This window comes from Homo sapiens, chromosome 1 (genome assembly GCF_000001405.40).
Source record: "Homo sapiens chromosome 1, GRCh38.p14 Primary Assembly".
In the NCBI taxonomy this organism is placed as follows: domain Eukaryota; kingdom Metazoa; phylum Chordata; class Mammalia; order Primates; family Hominidae; genus Homo; species Homo sapiens.
The window spans coordinates 37,414,724-37,432,095 of record NC_000001.11 but is presented as its reverse complement, the minus strand read 5'-3'; positions in this window follow the sequence as shown (position 1 = coordinate 37,432,095).

Below are 17,372 nucleotides of genomic sequence, written 5' to 3'. Positions count from 1 at the left end.
TTTCAGCCAGCTCTGCAGGCCATGTTTACCCTAAACCAGTACTGCCTTTTTGTGAGTCAGACAAAGGTGCCTCATTCAGGCAGCTCCAGCCCCGTGGACATGGATATGCAGGTTTGGGAGTGGAGGTTGGCTGGGACCTCCCTCAGCCCTGTGTGTGGTGTGTAAGGGGCACCTGCCTGTGTGTGTGTGGTGGGCAGGCCAGCTTAGATGTGGGAGGGTGGGTGGTGTGTACTGGTTTGTGTGTTTTCATGGTGTGTCTGATGTTTGAGTACAAGGAACGTATATTGTTTTGGGTGGTGTGGGTCTGGATGGGGTGTGAGTTGCATGGAGTGTGTGATGTCTGGGTGTTTCCGGGGTAGTGAAGAATGGGTTTTGTGTGAGTGGTGATCATTTTTGGGGACATGGAGGTCAGTATGATATGAGTATCCAGCTGGTGGGATGTCAAGTGCATGCAAGGCAGGTGCCACGTGTGTGATTGTGGCATGTGCCTTCTATTGGGTCAGGTGAATTGGGTGTGCCTGTATGTGTGAGGGTGTGTGGTGTGTAATGCATGCCTGTGTGCGTGACTATGAATGGGATTCCCTGGGACAGGTTCAAGGTCTCAGCCCTCCAGTCTAGCACTTGCAAGCCTTGGCCAGGCCTCCCCAGGGCTCCTCCCAGCCTTTGGGCTGCCGCTGAGGTGGGGTGGGCTCTGAACTGCTGCTGCCCCAACCATACTGACCTTGGGAGGCCAGCAGGGTCCTGTCTGTGGGCTTGAAGGAAGCAGTCCTCTACAGTGGAGGGACAGTTGGATGGCAGTTTGCACAGGAGCTGTGCCCTGGCCCAGGAGACCACCTGGCCAGGGCACAGCTCCTGTGCCTATCTGGCGAGCCCAGTTGAGATTCTACTTCCCCACCCCTTATCCCAGACCGCTGTCTGGGTCACCACCACCTGAATGATTGCAGTCACTTTTAATTTGGCCTCCTTGCCTCTCCCCTGCACCCCTTCCCCTCCTTCTCCTATCCACTCTGCTAGCCACCCTGTGGCCAGTATGGTTTCTCAACACTCAAATCTGGGCACAGCCTCTTCACTTAAAACCCTTCTGTGGCCTCCCTACTGCCCACAGGATAAAGGCCAAGCTCCTTGGCCGGGCATTCAAGGCCCCTACAACTGGCCCTCATTTGCCTGTCCTAACTCCTCCCTCCACCCACACCATGCCCACGATGCTAAGGGCCACCTGGCACTATCTCCTTGGATGCCAGTGCAAGGTCCAGCCTCCAGCTCTTTCCTGCACTGAGCCTCCTACCCCTCTGGCTGGTGCCCTGTCCTCACCTGGCCTGGCCAAGCCCACAGCTTCCATCCCTGGAAGCCTCCCCTGCCCTTTTCAGGTGGAGCTGCTGGCTCCTTACCCAGAGTTAGCTTCAATCCTGGATGCAAGCTGCCCGCTGTGCATAGTCACAGTCAGCTGGGGTGTGTGTCCTCACTGAACGCTGCCTCCTCTGGGGCTATCTCAGGGATGTGCCTGGGTCAGCCTAGCCCCTCAGAATCTGACTCCAGATTCTCGGGGATCCACCCTGAGTGGGGCTCCAGGGCCCACTCGCCCACTGGTGAGGGCAACGCTTGGAGATGGTGGCGTTTTCTCTCGTCTCCGTTCAGGCAGGCGGCTGGCCTGAGCTGCCTTGAGACTGGAAGAGACTTTGTCTGCAAGACACTTCTCCATTCAGGTTTTATTTCCCTAAAGCTGAAGCCTCCCCTGGGAATTAAGCTGTGTGATCTGGTGGGAAAAGTGAGGGAACATTGAAAAGAGGAGGGATTCCCCTGACTGCAGGGAGGATGGTTACAAACTCTGGAGACTGGGAGGGAAGGAACATCTGGCATTGCCCAGGCAGAGGGGCTTGTGTCTGTTCCCCTGCAGGGCCTTGTAGGAGGTAGGATTTCCAAGGGGCTCTTTGGGTCCCAGCCTTGCCAATATGCTAAAGTAGCCCTGGGGTTGGGGGTCAGTGGGTGTCTGTCTCAGTCCATTTGCATTGCTATGAAGGAATACCTGAGGCAGGGTAATTTTAAAGAAAAGAGGTTTACTTGGCTCATGGTTCTTCAGGCTGTACTGGAAGCATGGTGGCGGCAAAGGTGCTGCCCCAGGTGAGGGCTGCAGGATGCTTCCACTCATGGCAGAAAGGAGAGGGGACCTGTGTGCAGAGATAACATGTGTAGACAAAGAGAGAGGGAGAGGGGGAGGGAGGGAGAGAGAGAAAGGAAGCGAGGGAGAGAGAGAGGGAGGGAGGGAAAGAAGGAGGGAGGGAGGGAGAGAGGGAGGGAGGGAGAGAAAGAGGGAGGGGGAGGGAGAGGGAGGGAGAGGGGTGAGAGAGATGGGGGAGAGACAGAGAGGGAAGGGGGAGAGAGAGGAAAGGGGGAGAGAGAGAGGAAAGGGGGAGAAAGAGAGAGGAAAGGGGGAGAAAGAGAGAGGGAAGGGGGAGAGAGAGAGGAAAGGGGGAGAAAGAGGGATGGGGGAGAGAGAGAGGGAGAAGGGGAGAGGGAGAGAAAGAGCGGGAGAGAAGAGGGAAAGGGAGGGAGAGAGGGGGACAGAAGAGGGAGAGGGAGCGAGAGGGGGAGAGAGATAGGGAGGGAGAAGAGGAGATGCTAGATTCTTTTCAACAACTAGTTCTCAGGGGAACTAAGAGTGAGAACTCACTCACTCCCACAAGAATGGCACCAAGCCTCACGACCCAAACACCTCCCACCAGGTCCCACCTCCAACACTGGGGATGAAACTTGGTGGGGCCAAACAAACCCTATTTAAGCCATAGCAGCGTCTCACAGCATCACTGTGGAGTAATGGCCACCATAAGCAAGTCCTCCCCACCCTGAGCCCTGGCACGACACTGCCAATTCTTGAAACCCAGGGTGCAGTGGTGACGGCAGCTGCGTATGGTGGGAAGTAGGCTGTGAGCAAGTCACAGTGCCCCATCTGTAAAACAGAGATAAGAATACGATCTGCCTCTTGATGTCAAGATTAATGAGATAATAATGGTCATCTCTTAAAAGATTGTATCTACCAAGGGCTGTTCACAGAATAACACATCTAATCCTCTTGACAATCCTATGTGGTAGTTGCTATCATTACCCATTTTATAGAAGAGAAAGCTGAGGTATTGACTCATTCAAGTCTTAAATGGGGGATTGGATACAGGTGGTCTGGCCCCGAGCCTGGATTCTTAACCACTGCCCCTCTGGTTGAGGGAGGCAGAATCCTTAAACATAGTAAGTGCACAAGAAGTGTTAGCACCGGGCAAGGGAGAACATCCACTTTCAGCAGCACTCGCCTATGATGGATCAAAGCCGAGGGCTGTTGTCACCATGTGACATGTGCCAGATCCTTTCTGGACTGAACTGGAGACCCTGGACCTATGAGCAATGGGATTTGCTGTGTCCAGCTGTGTATAACCACTGGACTCATCCTCCATCCCGCCCTTGGTAGAGTGCTAGTTTTCATCTATGAGTAAAAGAACCACAATAAACTGTCTTCACCCTTTCTGGCATTAAAAAACCTTCAATTTTCCCCTTCAGTGAACTACTTGGTGAATATCTTCACTGGCATATGAACTTCTGGTACATTAAAATACTCAGGGTTTTTTTTTTTTGTTGTTGTTGTTTTTTGAGATGGAGTCTTGCTTTGTCACTCAGGCTGGAGTGCAGTGGCATGATCTCAGCTCACTGCAACCTCCACCTCCTGGGTTCAGGCGATTCTCCTGCCTCAGCCTCCCGAGCAGGTGGGATTACAAGTGCACACCACCACACCCGGCTAATTTTTGTATTTTTTAGTAGAGATGGGGGGTTCATCATTGTTGGCCAGGCTGGTCTCGAACTCCTGACCTCAAGTGATCTGCTTGCCTTGGCCTCCCAAAGTGCTGGGATTATAGGTGTGAGCCACTGCGCCCGGCCTGTTTGTTTGTTTTTGTTGTTGTTGTTTGTTTTTTAAAGAAATGGGGTCTCACTGTGTTTGCCCAGGCTGATGTGCAGTGGCACAACTGTAGCTCACTGTAACCTCGAACTCCTGGGCTCCAGAGATCCTCCTGCCTCAGCCTCCCAAGTAGATGGAACTATAGGCGCATACCACCACACGCAGCTCATTTTTAAAAACACTTTTTGTAGGGACAGGATGTTGCTATGTTGTCCAGGCTGGTCTTGAACTCCTGGCCTCAAGCAGTTCTTCTGCCTTGCCCTCCCGAAGCACTGGGATTACAGGTGTGCACCACCATGCCCAGCCTTTCAGATTTTGTTTTATTTTGTTATTATTTAATTTAGTTCTGCTGGTCTTTGTTTTGCTTCTTGACGTTTCTCAATAAATGTTAGCTATGGTATAGGAATCTCAATCTGCATACTTAGGTATGTAAGAAATACCATTTTTTTTGCCTCTTTCTTTTCTTTTCTTTCTTTCTTTCTGTCTTTCTTTCTTTCTTTCTTTCTTTCTTTCTTTCTTCCTTTCTCTCTCTCCCTTCCTTCCTTCTTTCCCTCCCTCCCTCTTTCTTTCTTTCCTTCCTTCCTTCCTTCCTTCTTTCTTTCTTTCTTTCTTTCTTTCTTTCTTTCTTTCTTTTCTTTCTTTCTTTCTTCTTTCCTTCTTTCTTTCTTTCTTTCTTTCTTTCTTTCTCTCTTTCTTTCTTTCTTTCTTTCTTTCTCTCTCTCTCTCTCTCTCTTTCTCTCTCTGTCTCTCTCCCTTCCGTCCTTCCTTCCCTCCCTCCCTCTCTCTCTTTCTTTCTTTCTTTCCTTCCCTCCTCTTTCTTTTTTTTTTTTGATGGAGTCTTGCTCTGTCACCCAGGCTGGAGTGCAGTGGTACGATCTCGGCTCACTTCAACCTCCGCCTCCTGGGTTCAAGCGATTCTCCTGCCTCAGCCTCCCGAGTGGCTGGGATTACAGGCATCCGCCACCAAGCCTGGCTAATTTTTTGTATTTTTAGTGGAGATGGAGTTTCACCATGTTGGCCAGGCTGGTCTGGAACTCCTGACCTTGTGATCCGCCCGCCTTGGCCTCCCAAAGTGCTGGGATTACAGGCGTGAGCCACCGCACCTGGCCTTTTTGCTCCTTTGAAACCAATTTTACGGTCCAATATTGAACCCCCATTTCTTCCTCTAGGAATGTGTGAAATTCAGGCTCAGATGCTCTTGGGGCTAAGTTGGAGATGTGCATGCGTGTGTACGTGTGTGTGTGTGTGTGTGTGTGTGTGTGTGTGAAAGAGGTGCAGGTGGGGGTTCCTGTAATAGAAGTAGTGTGAAGCTGGGAGCAGACAGGCACCTGAGGGTAGGGATTACTGAGGGTGCCCCCTTAGGAGGGTGGAGTAGATAGACAAGAAGCAGTGAGTTGGTGTAAGGCATGCCACTGAGTGGGAGCTGCTGAGTTCGTGATCCCGAGCCTCATGAACTGTCCCACTAAGGAAGGTGTGGCTTGGTGTTTCTCCTTGGGGATGTGTCTAGGACGTTTCTGCAGACTCATCCATAGGAAGCACACTGCCCTACTCTGACCCCCTCAGAGGACTCTATTTGGGTCTCTGTGAGGGCACTGATCACAGCCTCGGTTAGTGTCTTGGGCTGTGGTGTTCATTCTATTTAATTCAATTCAATTCAGTTTGATTCAATTCAATTCAACAGTGCTAGACTCTGTGCCAGACACTGAATTAGACTTAACTCCTGCCTTATGGGGCCTGTAGTTAAGTGGGGCTCTAGGTATGTAGACACAGGATTACCATGCACAGTACTGCCATGACAGTGGGGTACCAGGGGCATCGGGCAAGGGTTCCTAACTCAGGCTGTGGGTCAATGAAGTCAGTGAAGATGCCAGATAGTTGTGGTGCCTCAGCCAAGACCCAAGGGATGAAGGGGAGAAGGCTGCGGGTGACTAAGGTGTTTCAGGTATTTCAGGCAGGGATGGTGTGTAGTGGAGACTGGAGGCCAGAGAGTGTGGGGCCTGGAGATAACTTCTCTAGGTCACAGAAGGATCTGGAAGGTCATGGGGAGATGGTAAAGGAGGAAGTCAGAGGGTTGGGCTGGGGCCTTGGCATGCAAGGCTTTGGAGGCCTTACATTTAAGAGTTTGGGCTATACCTGGGGGCGATGCAGAGCCCTTGAGGGAGAGTGATACATGTGCAGTCTTTAAAGAGCAACTTGTGACTGGGCATGGTGGCTCATGCCTGTAATCCCAGCACTTTGGGAGGCCGAGGTGGGCAGATCACCTGAGGTCAGGAGTTTGAGACCAGCTTGGCCAACATGGCGAAACCTCATCTCTACCAAAAATACAAAAATTAACCAGGCGTGGTGGTACACGCCTGTAGTCCCAGCTACTGGGGAGACTGAGGCAGGAGGATCACTTGAACCCTGGAGGTGGAGGCTACAGTGAGCTGAGATTGCATCACTGTAATCCAGCCTGGGTGACAGAGTGAGACACCGTCTCAAAAGAAAAAAAAAGCACCTTGTGTGTAGTGTGAAGGGTGGGTGTGAGGGTGTGCTGGTGAATGTCTAACAATGGTCACTTCAGAAAAAAAGCCTTTTGGCCAATTGCTGTGGTGTAAAATACTCCCACTGTGACTGTTCTCGAGGTATCAATGTGATGTTGCTGAACACAGAGTTGGGATGAGATGCTAATGGTCTGATCTCCTGAGCTGGCACAAGCTGGCTTCAGCACACCGCTGGTTGGAGTGGAGCAGGGAGGCCTTATCTATTTCCCTAGAGTGAGAGAGTGAGGGAGCTCTTCTCTCATTCCCTGTCTCCTCTCCCAGCAGCGACCATAAGCCCTGCACAGAGTTAGCACTGAGGCCAGAAATATTCTGGAAGGACAAACAGTGGAGAAGAGCCCTCAGGAACGTCCTATGCCATTTCCTGATGGGATCCCTGAGAACTGGCTCTCGGGAGGAAGTCAGAGGCAGGAAAGGGTGTCCATGTGATCAGATTTCAGGGCTGAGGACGGGAGGAGGGCATGCTGGGATGGGAAGCTGATGAGCTGATGATAATAATTATGACAATTATGCAAAATACACAAATAATAATTACAGAAAATCATGATTATTATTTGTGGGTGTGAGATGTCTCCAGCTTTTTGGAACTGCACAGAAATGTTGGATGCCTCTTTTCTTGTGGGTGTGTGAGTGTCACATTCAAGCTTGGGCTGTCTGGCAGGAGCTGGGGTTTCCATCCCTCTCCAGACAGCTGTCTCCTGCCCTGGGTCTTGGTGGGATCCAACCTTCTTCACACAGTGCCAGGCCTGAGTGAGCTAGATCAAGTTCAGGAAAGGCAGGGCCTCCTACTTCTAGTTCCCACCTCAGAACCTCACTGAGGACACAGCCATGGGAGGGCTGAACAGGGATAAGGCAATGATTAACCTAGAAGAATAATTCAGAGGCTCGGGAGCCATGTGTCTCCCTGATGAGCTGGTCTCATGATTCATGGCTGATTAGATATCTGACCCAAATAGTGTCAATTAGACTCTCTTTTCTGGAAATATAGGGCTGGGACTGGGAGAGAGCAGGGTTTGTCTGTGAGTGATTGCATCTCTCACTGGGAGGCTGGGATTGGGCAGGTTCTACCCAGCAACCAAGTGGACTGTGGAGTGGGAGAGAGAAAGGACTGACATTCCTGCTGGCCTTCTGCATTCCAGCTCCAGTCCTCTTCCACGAAGTTCCTTGTATCTTTGTTGTAAGAGCCCCAGTGATGTCAGCTTGAGGTGGTGTCTGTTACTTGCAGCTAAGATTCTAAGCAGGGATGTATTGCAAAGAGCCTTGCATGTTTTGGTTTTATGGATCAGAGGTCCTCTCAAGCTAGCTCACTCGAGACACTAGTGGCATAATAAGGGCACTCGTGGAAATCCTACAAGAGAAACTGTCAGGGCTGGGGCCCGCAGGAAACTGAGGCAGACTGGATTTAAGATGGCGCCAGGACCTCAGCATCGGGAGGGAATTTATTAACTCTATTAACACAACTTGTGGTCAATTCCTTGTGGCTGCCTTTCCTGTCCTGCTAACACTTCACCAACTCTTCTCTTTTTCCTTCCATTCAACCACCTGAGAGAAGACATTCAATTGGCTCAGCTGATGACTATTTTCTCTTTGCGGAGCCTTTTGTGTCAGGCCATGTGATAGGCTATGAGATAGCCTATAGATGGGCTGCCCTTGTTTCAGGTGCTCATTCATGGTCCAATCAGATGCCATCTCTGAGCTGGCCGTCTGGGCGGGGTAGTTTTAAACGGAAGTTGATTTTGTCAGCGTGGAGGCTGGTGAGTCCTGTGTGAATGCCAGGCTCGGTACGTAATTCAGCAGGTGATGGTGAGGCCTCTAAGGTTCTTGAGGATGTGATATGGTCAAAGCTGAGACTTGTGAATATTATCTGGTTGCAGAGAAGAGGTTGGTTGGAGGGTGAGAGGACAGGCAGGGAGGCAAGGTAGGTGGTTGCTGCCTTAGTCCAGTGAGAGGAGATGAGCTGAGCTGGCCTGATCTAGAGCGTGGGCCAGGCCAGGACCAGGGTAGGCAAGTGAGGCTCTGGGGACACCACATTTAAGTGGCCCTGCTCCCTCTCAGGGCCAGCCCTTGCAGGAGCCTCCTGAATTTTGCTTCACTCATCCCATCCTAGAACTGGCCCTGGGCAGGGTGATGGAGAAGACACCTGAATGTATGGGCTCAATAACTGGTGGGTTGCAGGTGGTGAGGAGAGGGACCCTCCTTTCTCTGGGGAATGCTGAGGCTTTTGGTGGTGTGGGCTGGAGATCAGGAAGCCAGGCCCGGAGATGGGGAAGCAGGAGGAGGGAATTTGGGTTTGTGGAGGAGGCTGGTAAGTTCACTTTGGGGTCTGAGGAGTTTGCGATGCCTGTGGGAGGTTGAGGGCAGGGTTTCTAGTAGACAGATGGGAATGTGGGTCTGAAGCTTGGAGAGAAGTCCGAGCTGTAGAGGTGGGCTTTGGCAGTGTCAGCATAGAGTTGATCCTGAGGCACCATGTGCAGAGTACTGGGCACCCTACCTGGCACAAAGCGTGTGCTCAGGAAATGTTTCATAAGTAATATGGGAAGTCATGGGAATCCACTTGATCCTTCGGGGAGTGTTGTAGGGAGGAATGGGTCTCTAATGGTGAAATGTCAGACAGCTGACAATAGCTTCTGGGTTAGGGGGCATTTGTGAGTAGGAGGGGATTCTTTTGGAGCTCCTTACATGACCCCATGCTTGTATCCACGGATGCACCCTGTTCTCAAGGATCCCTGGAGCACAAATGCCTGGCTGAAGGGCTGAGGACTGATATGGTTTGGCTCTGTGTTCCCACCCAGATCTCATGTGGAATTGTAATCCCCAGTGTTGGAGGAGGGGCCTGGTGGGAGGTGATTGGATTATAGGGTCCCCTTGCACTCGTGATAGTGAGTTCTCACGAGATCTGGTTGTTTAAAAGTGTGTAGCACCTCCCCCTTTGCTGTCTTTCTTCCTCCGGCTCCTGCCATGTAGATGTGCCTGCTTTCCCTTTGCCTTCTACCATAATTGTAATTTTCCTGAGGCCTCCTCGGCAGCGTGGAACCATGAGCCCATTAAACCCCTTTTCTCTATAAATTACCCAGTCTCAGGTAGTTTTTTTATAGCATTGCAAGAACAGACTAATACAAGGACCAAGAATCAGGGGACCTCCACCTTTGTCTCTGACTGTGACGGTTGCTGCTTCTTTAAGAAGTGGCTTCCTGGTAATTACCCAGAGGTTATGCCTGGTCATCAGTGGAACTGGTAGCATAAAACCCCCACACTTGTGTGAAGTCTTAGGTTTTTTTTTTTTCCAGGGTGGTTTCACATTCATGAATTCATTTGAGATCTATTACTCTCTTGTGAAGGAGAAAGCCCAGGGCTCATCATCCCTGTTCTACAGGTGAAGCAACTGAGGCTCCAAGAGGTTAAGTGGCTAGCTGAGAGCCACAAAGCTCTGGTCAGGAAAGGCTGGCTTGGAATCTAGGTCTGCTTAAAAAAATACAGTCTCCTGAATCTAGAAGTCATTATGTACTCTAGGCTTTCCTTAGATATATAATAATAAGATAACATTGGAGTTAAATAAATGGCTAATGTTTATTAGAGACTTAAATGATGGGTACTGTATTTTACATTTAAACCTCACAACAATTCTATGGGATAGGTACTATCATCCATCTATTGGCAAGAATGCAAAAAGAATGTCCAGTTCTGGCCATGATGTGGGAAGAGGGCTTTTGCATCCATTGCTGGGGACTGAGAATTGCCGTGAGTGCTAGGGAACAAAATCAGCAGTGGCAATTAAAATTTAAAGTACGAACACCCTTGATTCACAAATTGTTCTTTGGGGAGTCTAGCCTGCGGGAATAAAAGCATCAGAACATAAGGATAAATGCACAAAGACATTTACTACTGCACCATCTGTAGTCATGAATGAAACAGTCGAATATCTATCAGGAGGGAAATGGTTAACTGATGGCTGCGGATGGTGACCCAGCTAATGACAGGAGGGAGAACCTTCCAGATGCACTGACCTCAAGGGTGGTTCATGATGTGTTAAGTGAACAAAGCAAGTTTGGAGTAATGTGAATCCTATTTTTATTAGATACATAAATAGAAATTTATTTTTTATTTATTTTTTTGAGACAGAGTCTCCCTCTGTCGCCCAGGCTGGAGCGCAGTGGCTCGATCTCAGCTCACTGCAACCTCCACCTCCTGGGTTCAAGTGATTCTCATGCCTCAGCCTCCCGAGTAGCTGGGCTTACAGGTGTGTGCCACCACGCTCAGCTAATTTTTTGTATATTTTTTAGTAGAGATGGGGTTTCACCATGTTGTCCAGGCTGGTCTCGACAAGTGATCCACCTGCCTCGGCCTCCCAAAGTGCTGGGATTACAGGCATGAGCCTCTGTGCCCGGCCAATAAATAGAAATTTAAAAAGCCCACATTTTTTTTGTTTGTCTGTAAGGGTCTAGAAAATTACAGCCGGCCCTCTTCATCAGGGGGTTCTGTATCCATAGATTCATTCAACCAACTACAGCTCAAAAATGTAAAAAAAAAAAAAAAAAAAAAAAAAAAAGAAAAAATATTTAACAGTAAAAATGAATACAAATAAAAATACAGTATAGCTACATAGCATTTACATTGCATTAGGTATTATAAGTAATCTAGAGATGATCAAAAGTATATGGGTGGGTATGTGTAGGTTAGTTGCAAGTACAATACCATTTTATATTAGGAACTTGAACATCTGCAGATTTTGATATCTGGGGGGGGTCCTAGAACGAATCTCCCTGTGGATACTGAGGGATGATGGTATATGAAAAGATGTGTCATCTGTTGTAACCTCAGGGAGATAAGATTGAAGGCAGGGAGGAGAAGAAAATGAACTTTTCCCACATATCTGCATTACTCAACTGGTATAGCTGGAGAGTCATGGGTGGCTCCATAGAGGTGGTGACATTTGAGTTGAGTGTTGAAGAATGGTTGGGAGTTTGCCAGCCAATGAGGCTGGGAATGAGGGTAGGGAGTGGCATTTTAGGCAGAGGCACAGAGATGTGGAAGCACATGAGTGGAGAAAGGACAGCAGTGTTGTGTGGCTGCTCACTCATGAAGAATGTTGCTATGAAGATTAAAATGAGAGAATGCAGGCCAGGCGCATTGGCTCAAACCTGTAATCCCAGCACTTTGGGAGGCTGAGGTGGGTAGATCGCTTGAGCCCAGGAGTTCGAGACCAGCCTGGGAAGCGTGGTGGAACTCCATCTCTACAAAAAATGCAAAAATTAGCCAGGTGTGATGGTGTGTGCCTGTAGTCCCAGCTACTCAGGAGGTTGAGATGGGAGGATCTCTTGAGCCTGGGAGGTTGAGGCTGCAGTGAGCCCTGATCGTACCACTGCACTCCAGCCTGGGCAACAGAATGGGATCTTGTTTCAGGAAAAAAAAAAAAAAAAAGCATATGGAACCCCTCGGAAAGGCCACTGGATCTTAGTTCTTGCTCCTGTGAAGCAGTCTAATTCTTGTCATATATTGGAATATGGATTAAGGATCATGTGTGGCAAATGCACGTTAGGTATGGAGTGGGGTGGAGGGTGGTGGGGCATGTGGGCCTCCTCTTCCTTTGTCTCCTTCTTTATTCCTTTCTCCTCTCCTTTAACTCCTTTGTTTTCTCCCCCAATCCCCTCTTCCTTATTTCTCTCTCCTCCAATTCCCTTTCCCTCCCTCCCTTTTGCTATCTTTTTTTTTTTTTTTTTTGAGATGGAGTCTTGCTCTGTTGCCAGGCTGGAGTGCAGTGGTGCGATCTCAGCTTACTGAAACCTCTGCCTCCTGGGTTCAAGTGATTCTCCTGCCTCAGCCTCCCAAGTAGCTGGGACCACAGGCACTTGCCACCAAGCCAAGCTAATTTTTGTATTTTTAGTAGAGACGGGGTTTCACCATGTTGGCCAGGATGGTCTCGATCTCTTGACTTTGTGATCTGTCTGCCTTAGCCTGCCAAAGTCCTGGGATTACAGGCGTGAGCCACCGTGCCTGGCCCCTTTTGCTGTCTTAAGTCCACTCCCTTCAGGTGCCTCTGTAGGGAGAGGATCACAGTGGAGGGAATGTCTTGCTGCGGAACAGTCAGCTGGGCATGCTGTGACCCTTCTCAATCCCTCTGATCTGGCAACTCAGGCAGGACCACAGGCTGTGATGCCAGATCAACCTAGGTTTAAATCCCAGCCCTACCACTTACTAGCTGTGTGACCTCAGGCAAGTGATTCAATGTCTCTGAGCCACTGCTTCTACGTTTATAAAATGCATGTAATGATTTTCTCATAAGGTCGTTGTCAAGATTAACTGAGAAAAGGTTTACATGTAGCATTTTCAAAGATCTAGAGACAAAAATATTTTCTTATTTCTTCATCTCCTTTTAGCTAGAGATGATTCTGGCGAACTCTTTGAACCTCTGATGTTTTGTTTCAGGGACTTCCTTCCTTCCTGCCTAATACTGGACCTTGAATTGTGGATTAGCCATAGTCAGTGTTCAATTCTCTGCATGTTGCAGGCTGCTTCTGCCCTTTCTTCCACTCTAACCCAAAGAAGCAAGTGAATCAAAATAACTCCAGGCAGCAGAGCCAAGATGGAGGAGGACAGCTCTGGGATGGCTAGGGCCCGGGCCCCCTGGGGTGGATAAAGGGGGTGACTGCGGGGGCTGGGGCAGACAGCTGAGGACTTGGAGGCACCACTCTCTGATAAGGGGGTTGTTTCCCCAGCACTCATAGGGGTCCCTTCCTGGCTCTGTGTGTATGTTATGAGGGACATACACACTGGAGAAGGCCCCTTTGTGGTGATGGAAAGAGTTATGAGTTATTAATGGTGTTTGTAGTTGTAAGCGCCACTAACAACCATAATCATGTGCATTGTAATAATGTGTGTAATGAAAGCTCCAGCAATGAATTAATAGATCCATCATGACTTTGATGACCATGTGAGCGTAAGCTAGTGTACGACTTTATGTTAACAGGCCCGGTACAACCTGGCAGGGAGACGGGTGGCTGAGGGAAAGAAAGGGCCTGGGGCTAAGAGGCAGTCCTGGAATGGGCAGACCCAGGCATGCATCTCTGCTCAGTATCTTCAGAGCTGTGTGACGTGGCACTGTTCCGTTACCTCTCTGAGCCTCAGTTTTCTCATCTAAATTAGAGATGATAATATTCCATCTCCTACAGAGGTGTGATGGTTAAATGAGATAATGCAACTGAAATAGGCAACACCTCTCAGCACCTCTCTTGCTTACTCTCTCCAGCTAGGCTGGTTGCATTACTGCTCTGAGGAATGGCACCTGTGCACCTGCTGCAGGCCCTTTGCACTGGCTGTTCCCTCCACCTGGCATGCTCTCCCCATATTCATAGTCATGGGTTGCTTAGTGATGGGGATGGATTCTTTTTTTTTTCTTTTTTCTTTTCTTTTTTTTTTTTTTATGTTTTGAGACAGTGTTTCACTCTATCGCCCAGGCTGGAGTGCAGTGGTGGAATCTTGGCTCACTGCAAACCTCCGCATCCTGGTTTCAACTGATTCTCCTGCCTCAGCCTCCTGAGTAGCTGGAATTACAGGCATGCGCTACCACGCCCGGCTAACTTTTGTATTTTTAATAGAGACAGGATTTCGCCATGTTGGCCAGGCTGGTCTCAAACTCCTGACCTCAAGTGATCTGTCCCCCTCGGCCTTCCCATGTGCTGGGAATTATAGGCGTGAGACACCGCACCCGACCCACTACTGTAGACTTTATAAACCCCGTACACTTAGGCTACACTAAATTCATAAACTTTTTTCTTTTCTTCAATAATAAAAATGTAACATTTTTACTCTTATCTTTTTTTGATTTGTAAAAACTTTTGGACTGTTGTAATAACACATAGCTTAAAACATAGACATATACAGCTATATGAAATTATTTTCTTTGTTTATATCCTTATTCTATATAAGATTTTTTTCTTTTCATATATACCTTTTGTAAAAACTGTCAATTTAGGCTTTTTTCTATTATAAAATTATTTCCTTTTCTTTTTTTTTCTTTTTAGACTTTTTTGTTAAAAATGAAGACACAAACACACACATTAGCCTAGGCCTACCTAGGGTCAGGATCATCAATATCACTGTCTTCCATCTCCACATCTTGTCCCACTGGAAGGTCTTCAGGGGCAATAGCATACATAGAGCTGTCATCTCTTCTGATAACAATGCCTTCTGGAATAGCTCCTGAAGGACCTGCCTAAGGCTGTTTTACAGTTAGTTTTTTTTTTTTTTTTTTCATAAGTAGCAGGAGTACACATTGAAATAACAATAAAAAGCATAGCATAGTAAATACATAAGTCAGTAACATTGTCGTTTATTTTCAAGTATTATGTACTTGTACATAATTGTATGTGCTGGACTTTTTTATTTATTTATTTTTTTTGAGACAGAGTTTCGCTCTTGCTGCCCAGGCTGGAGTGCAGTGGTGCGATCTCGGCTCACTGCAACCTTCGCTTTTGGGGTTCAAGCGATTCTTGTGCCTCAGCCTTGCAAGTAGCTGGGATTACAGGCATGTGCCACCATGCCTGGCTAATTTTGTATTTTTAATAGAGATGGGGTTTCACCATGTTGGCCAGGCTGGTCTCGAACTCCTGACCTCAAGTGATCTGCCCTCTTTGGCCTCCCAAAGTGCTGGGATTACAGGTGTGAGCCACCGCACCCCACCCATTGTGCTAGACTTTTACACGACTGTGGCAGCGCAGTAGGTTTGCTTACACCAGTCCTACCATAAAGGCATGAGTAACCTGTTGTGCTATGACATTTCCACTGCTTGATGTTATGACAGCTACCGTGTCACTAGTGATAGGACATTTTCAGGTCCATTATAGGCTTATGGGATCACTGTTTGTGTATGTGGTCCGTGGATGACCGAAGCGCTGTTATGTGACACAGGGCTGTATTTACATGGCTTGCTTCGCCTTCTGGCAGGTCACTCCTTAAATGTCACCTTATCAGGGGGAACTTTCTGACCTCCTTGTCTAAAACAGCAACCCACGCTCTGTTCTCTCTGCTTTATTTTTATTCATAGCTCTTACATATTTATATGTAGTGGTTTACAACTTTCTGGTCGGTCTCTGCCTGTAGACTGTATCACAAGAACAGGGACTATGTTTTGCTTATGGTGGAATCTCGAGCACCCAAAACAGCACCCAGGGTATGGGAGGCACCCAGGAAATATTGAGTCAAGGAAGGGATATCTCCATGACAGGCATAGGGTAAGTGCTCAATAAATGGCAACTGGGGTAAAGCCATGTGAGCAAATGAACAGACACCATCGCAAAGGAGAAGCTATGAGGAAGCTCCTCTGCAAAGGCTGCCTCTGCACAGGAAAGCCCAAGGCATCTGGTTTTCTGCCCTTCTCTCCTCGCTTGCCTCCTTTGCAATCGTTGAGAGAACTGTAAAGCTGCCAGTGATCTTGGACAAGGCTTCCTCCTACACCACGGGGTAGGTATGCCAGTCTTGGGGGTTGTAGAGTGGTAGTGCGGAGGTTTCTGAAGAATGAGGTTCCTGGCCCTGAGCAGCGAGGAGAAGCGGTCTTAGGGTCCTCCTGCCAGGCTTCTGGATTCTGTCTAAAGTGTCTCCAAAACTGGTGTGTGCTTGTGTGTGACTGTGGGGGAGTGTGATGAGTCACCATGCGGATGCTGGGCTGTGTGTGTATAAGTCTATATCCTGCGCTTGGTTCCTTGCACAAGTGTGTGGCTGTTTAGCGTGTGCTTGCTTATATGTGTTGGGTGAACAATCGTGTGTGTAACTGTACATGTGTGCTGGGTGCAGACCTGTGTAGAAGGTATGACAGGGTGTGAGGGTGCGTGGGTGAGTATGAGTGCCTTGAGGCACAGCTTAAGGGTGAGCTGTGGGAGTGTGTGCATGAAGTTCATGGAGAGGCGTGTGTCTCCGTGTGAGCAGGTTTGAACATGTTTTATGTGTGTATTCTAGTTGTGAGAGGGTGTTGACAACCAAGTTTGCACACATGGATTGTGTGTGAACTTACCTATGAATGAAATTCTGTGACTGATGGATGAAGGGTTTCTGGGGCCAGGGGTAGTTTGTCCATAAGGACTTGGCTACTGAAGACACCAGTTGTATCATTTTGCTTGTGCTTGTGTTTCTTTTCTTTCTTTTTTCTTTTTTCTTTCTGAGACAGAGTCTAGCTCTGTCCCCCAGGCTGGAGTGCAGTGGCGCGATCTCGGCTCACTGCAACCTCCACCTCCAGGGTCAAGTGATTCTCCTGCCTCAGCTTCTCAAGTAGCTGGGATTATAGGTGCATACCACCACACCCGGGTAATTTTTGTATTTTTACTAGAGACAGGGTTTCACCATGTTGTCCAGGCTGGTCTCAAACTGCCGACCTCAAGTGATCCACCTACCTTGGCCTCCCAAAGTCCTGGGATTACAGGCGTGAGCCACTGCGCCCGGCCTGTGCTTGTGTTTCAAGCTATCCTGACACAGGGCCATAGAAATAGGAGTGGATCTCTTGGGAATATCTCTGCTGATTGCCGTCATTTCATTAGAAACACAATTATTTCGTAAGGCTGGGCTAACGGTGTTGGAAATAGCCAAGTGCAGCGCTGGAGTGACAGGGACCACATCCCATTTGATACTAATTGGTTTGATGATGGTAATTGTTGTATTGCAGACAGTTGTGACTATCTCCTAATTTAATATAATCAATAAGGTAACAACAGCTCAATGCAAATGAGATGTGGGGACCCATGGGGCCATTTGTAAGTTATGTTCTTAATGCATTTTCCTAATTAGCTGTAGCAGATTCCCCCCTCCCCCACCTTCTCTGGAGTGTGAGAGAAGTGATCATCTGAGATGCCATGCTTCGCTTTCTCCAAACTTTCACTTTCAGAGAGGCTCAGGGAGAGCTCATCCTGGAG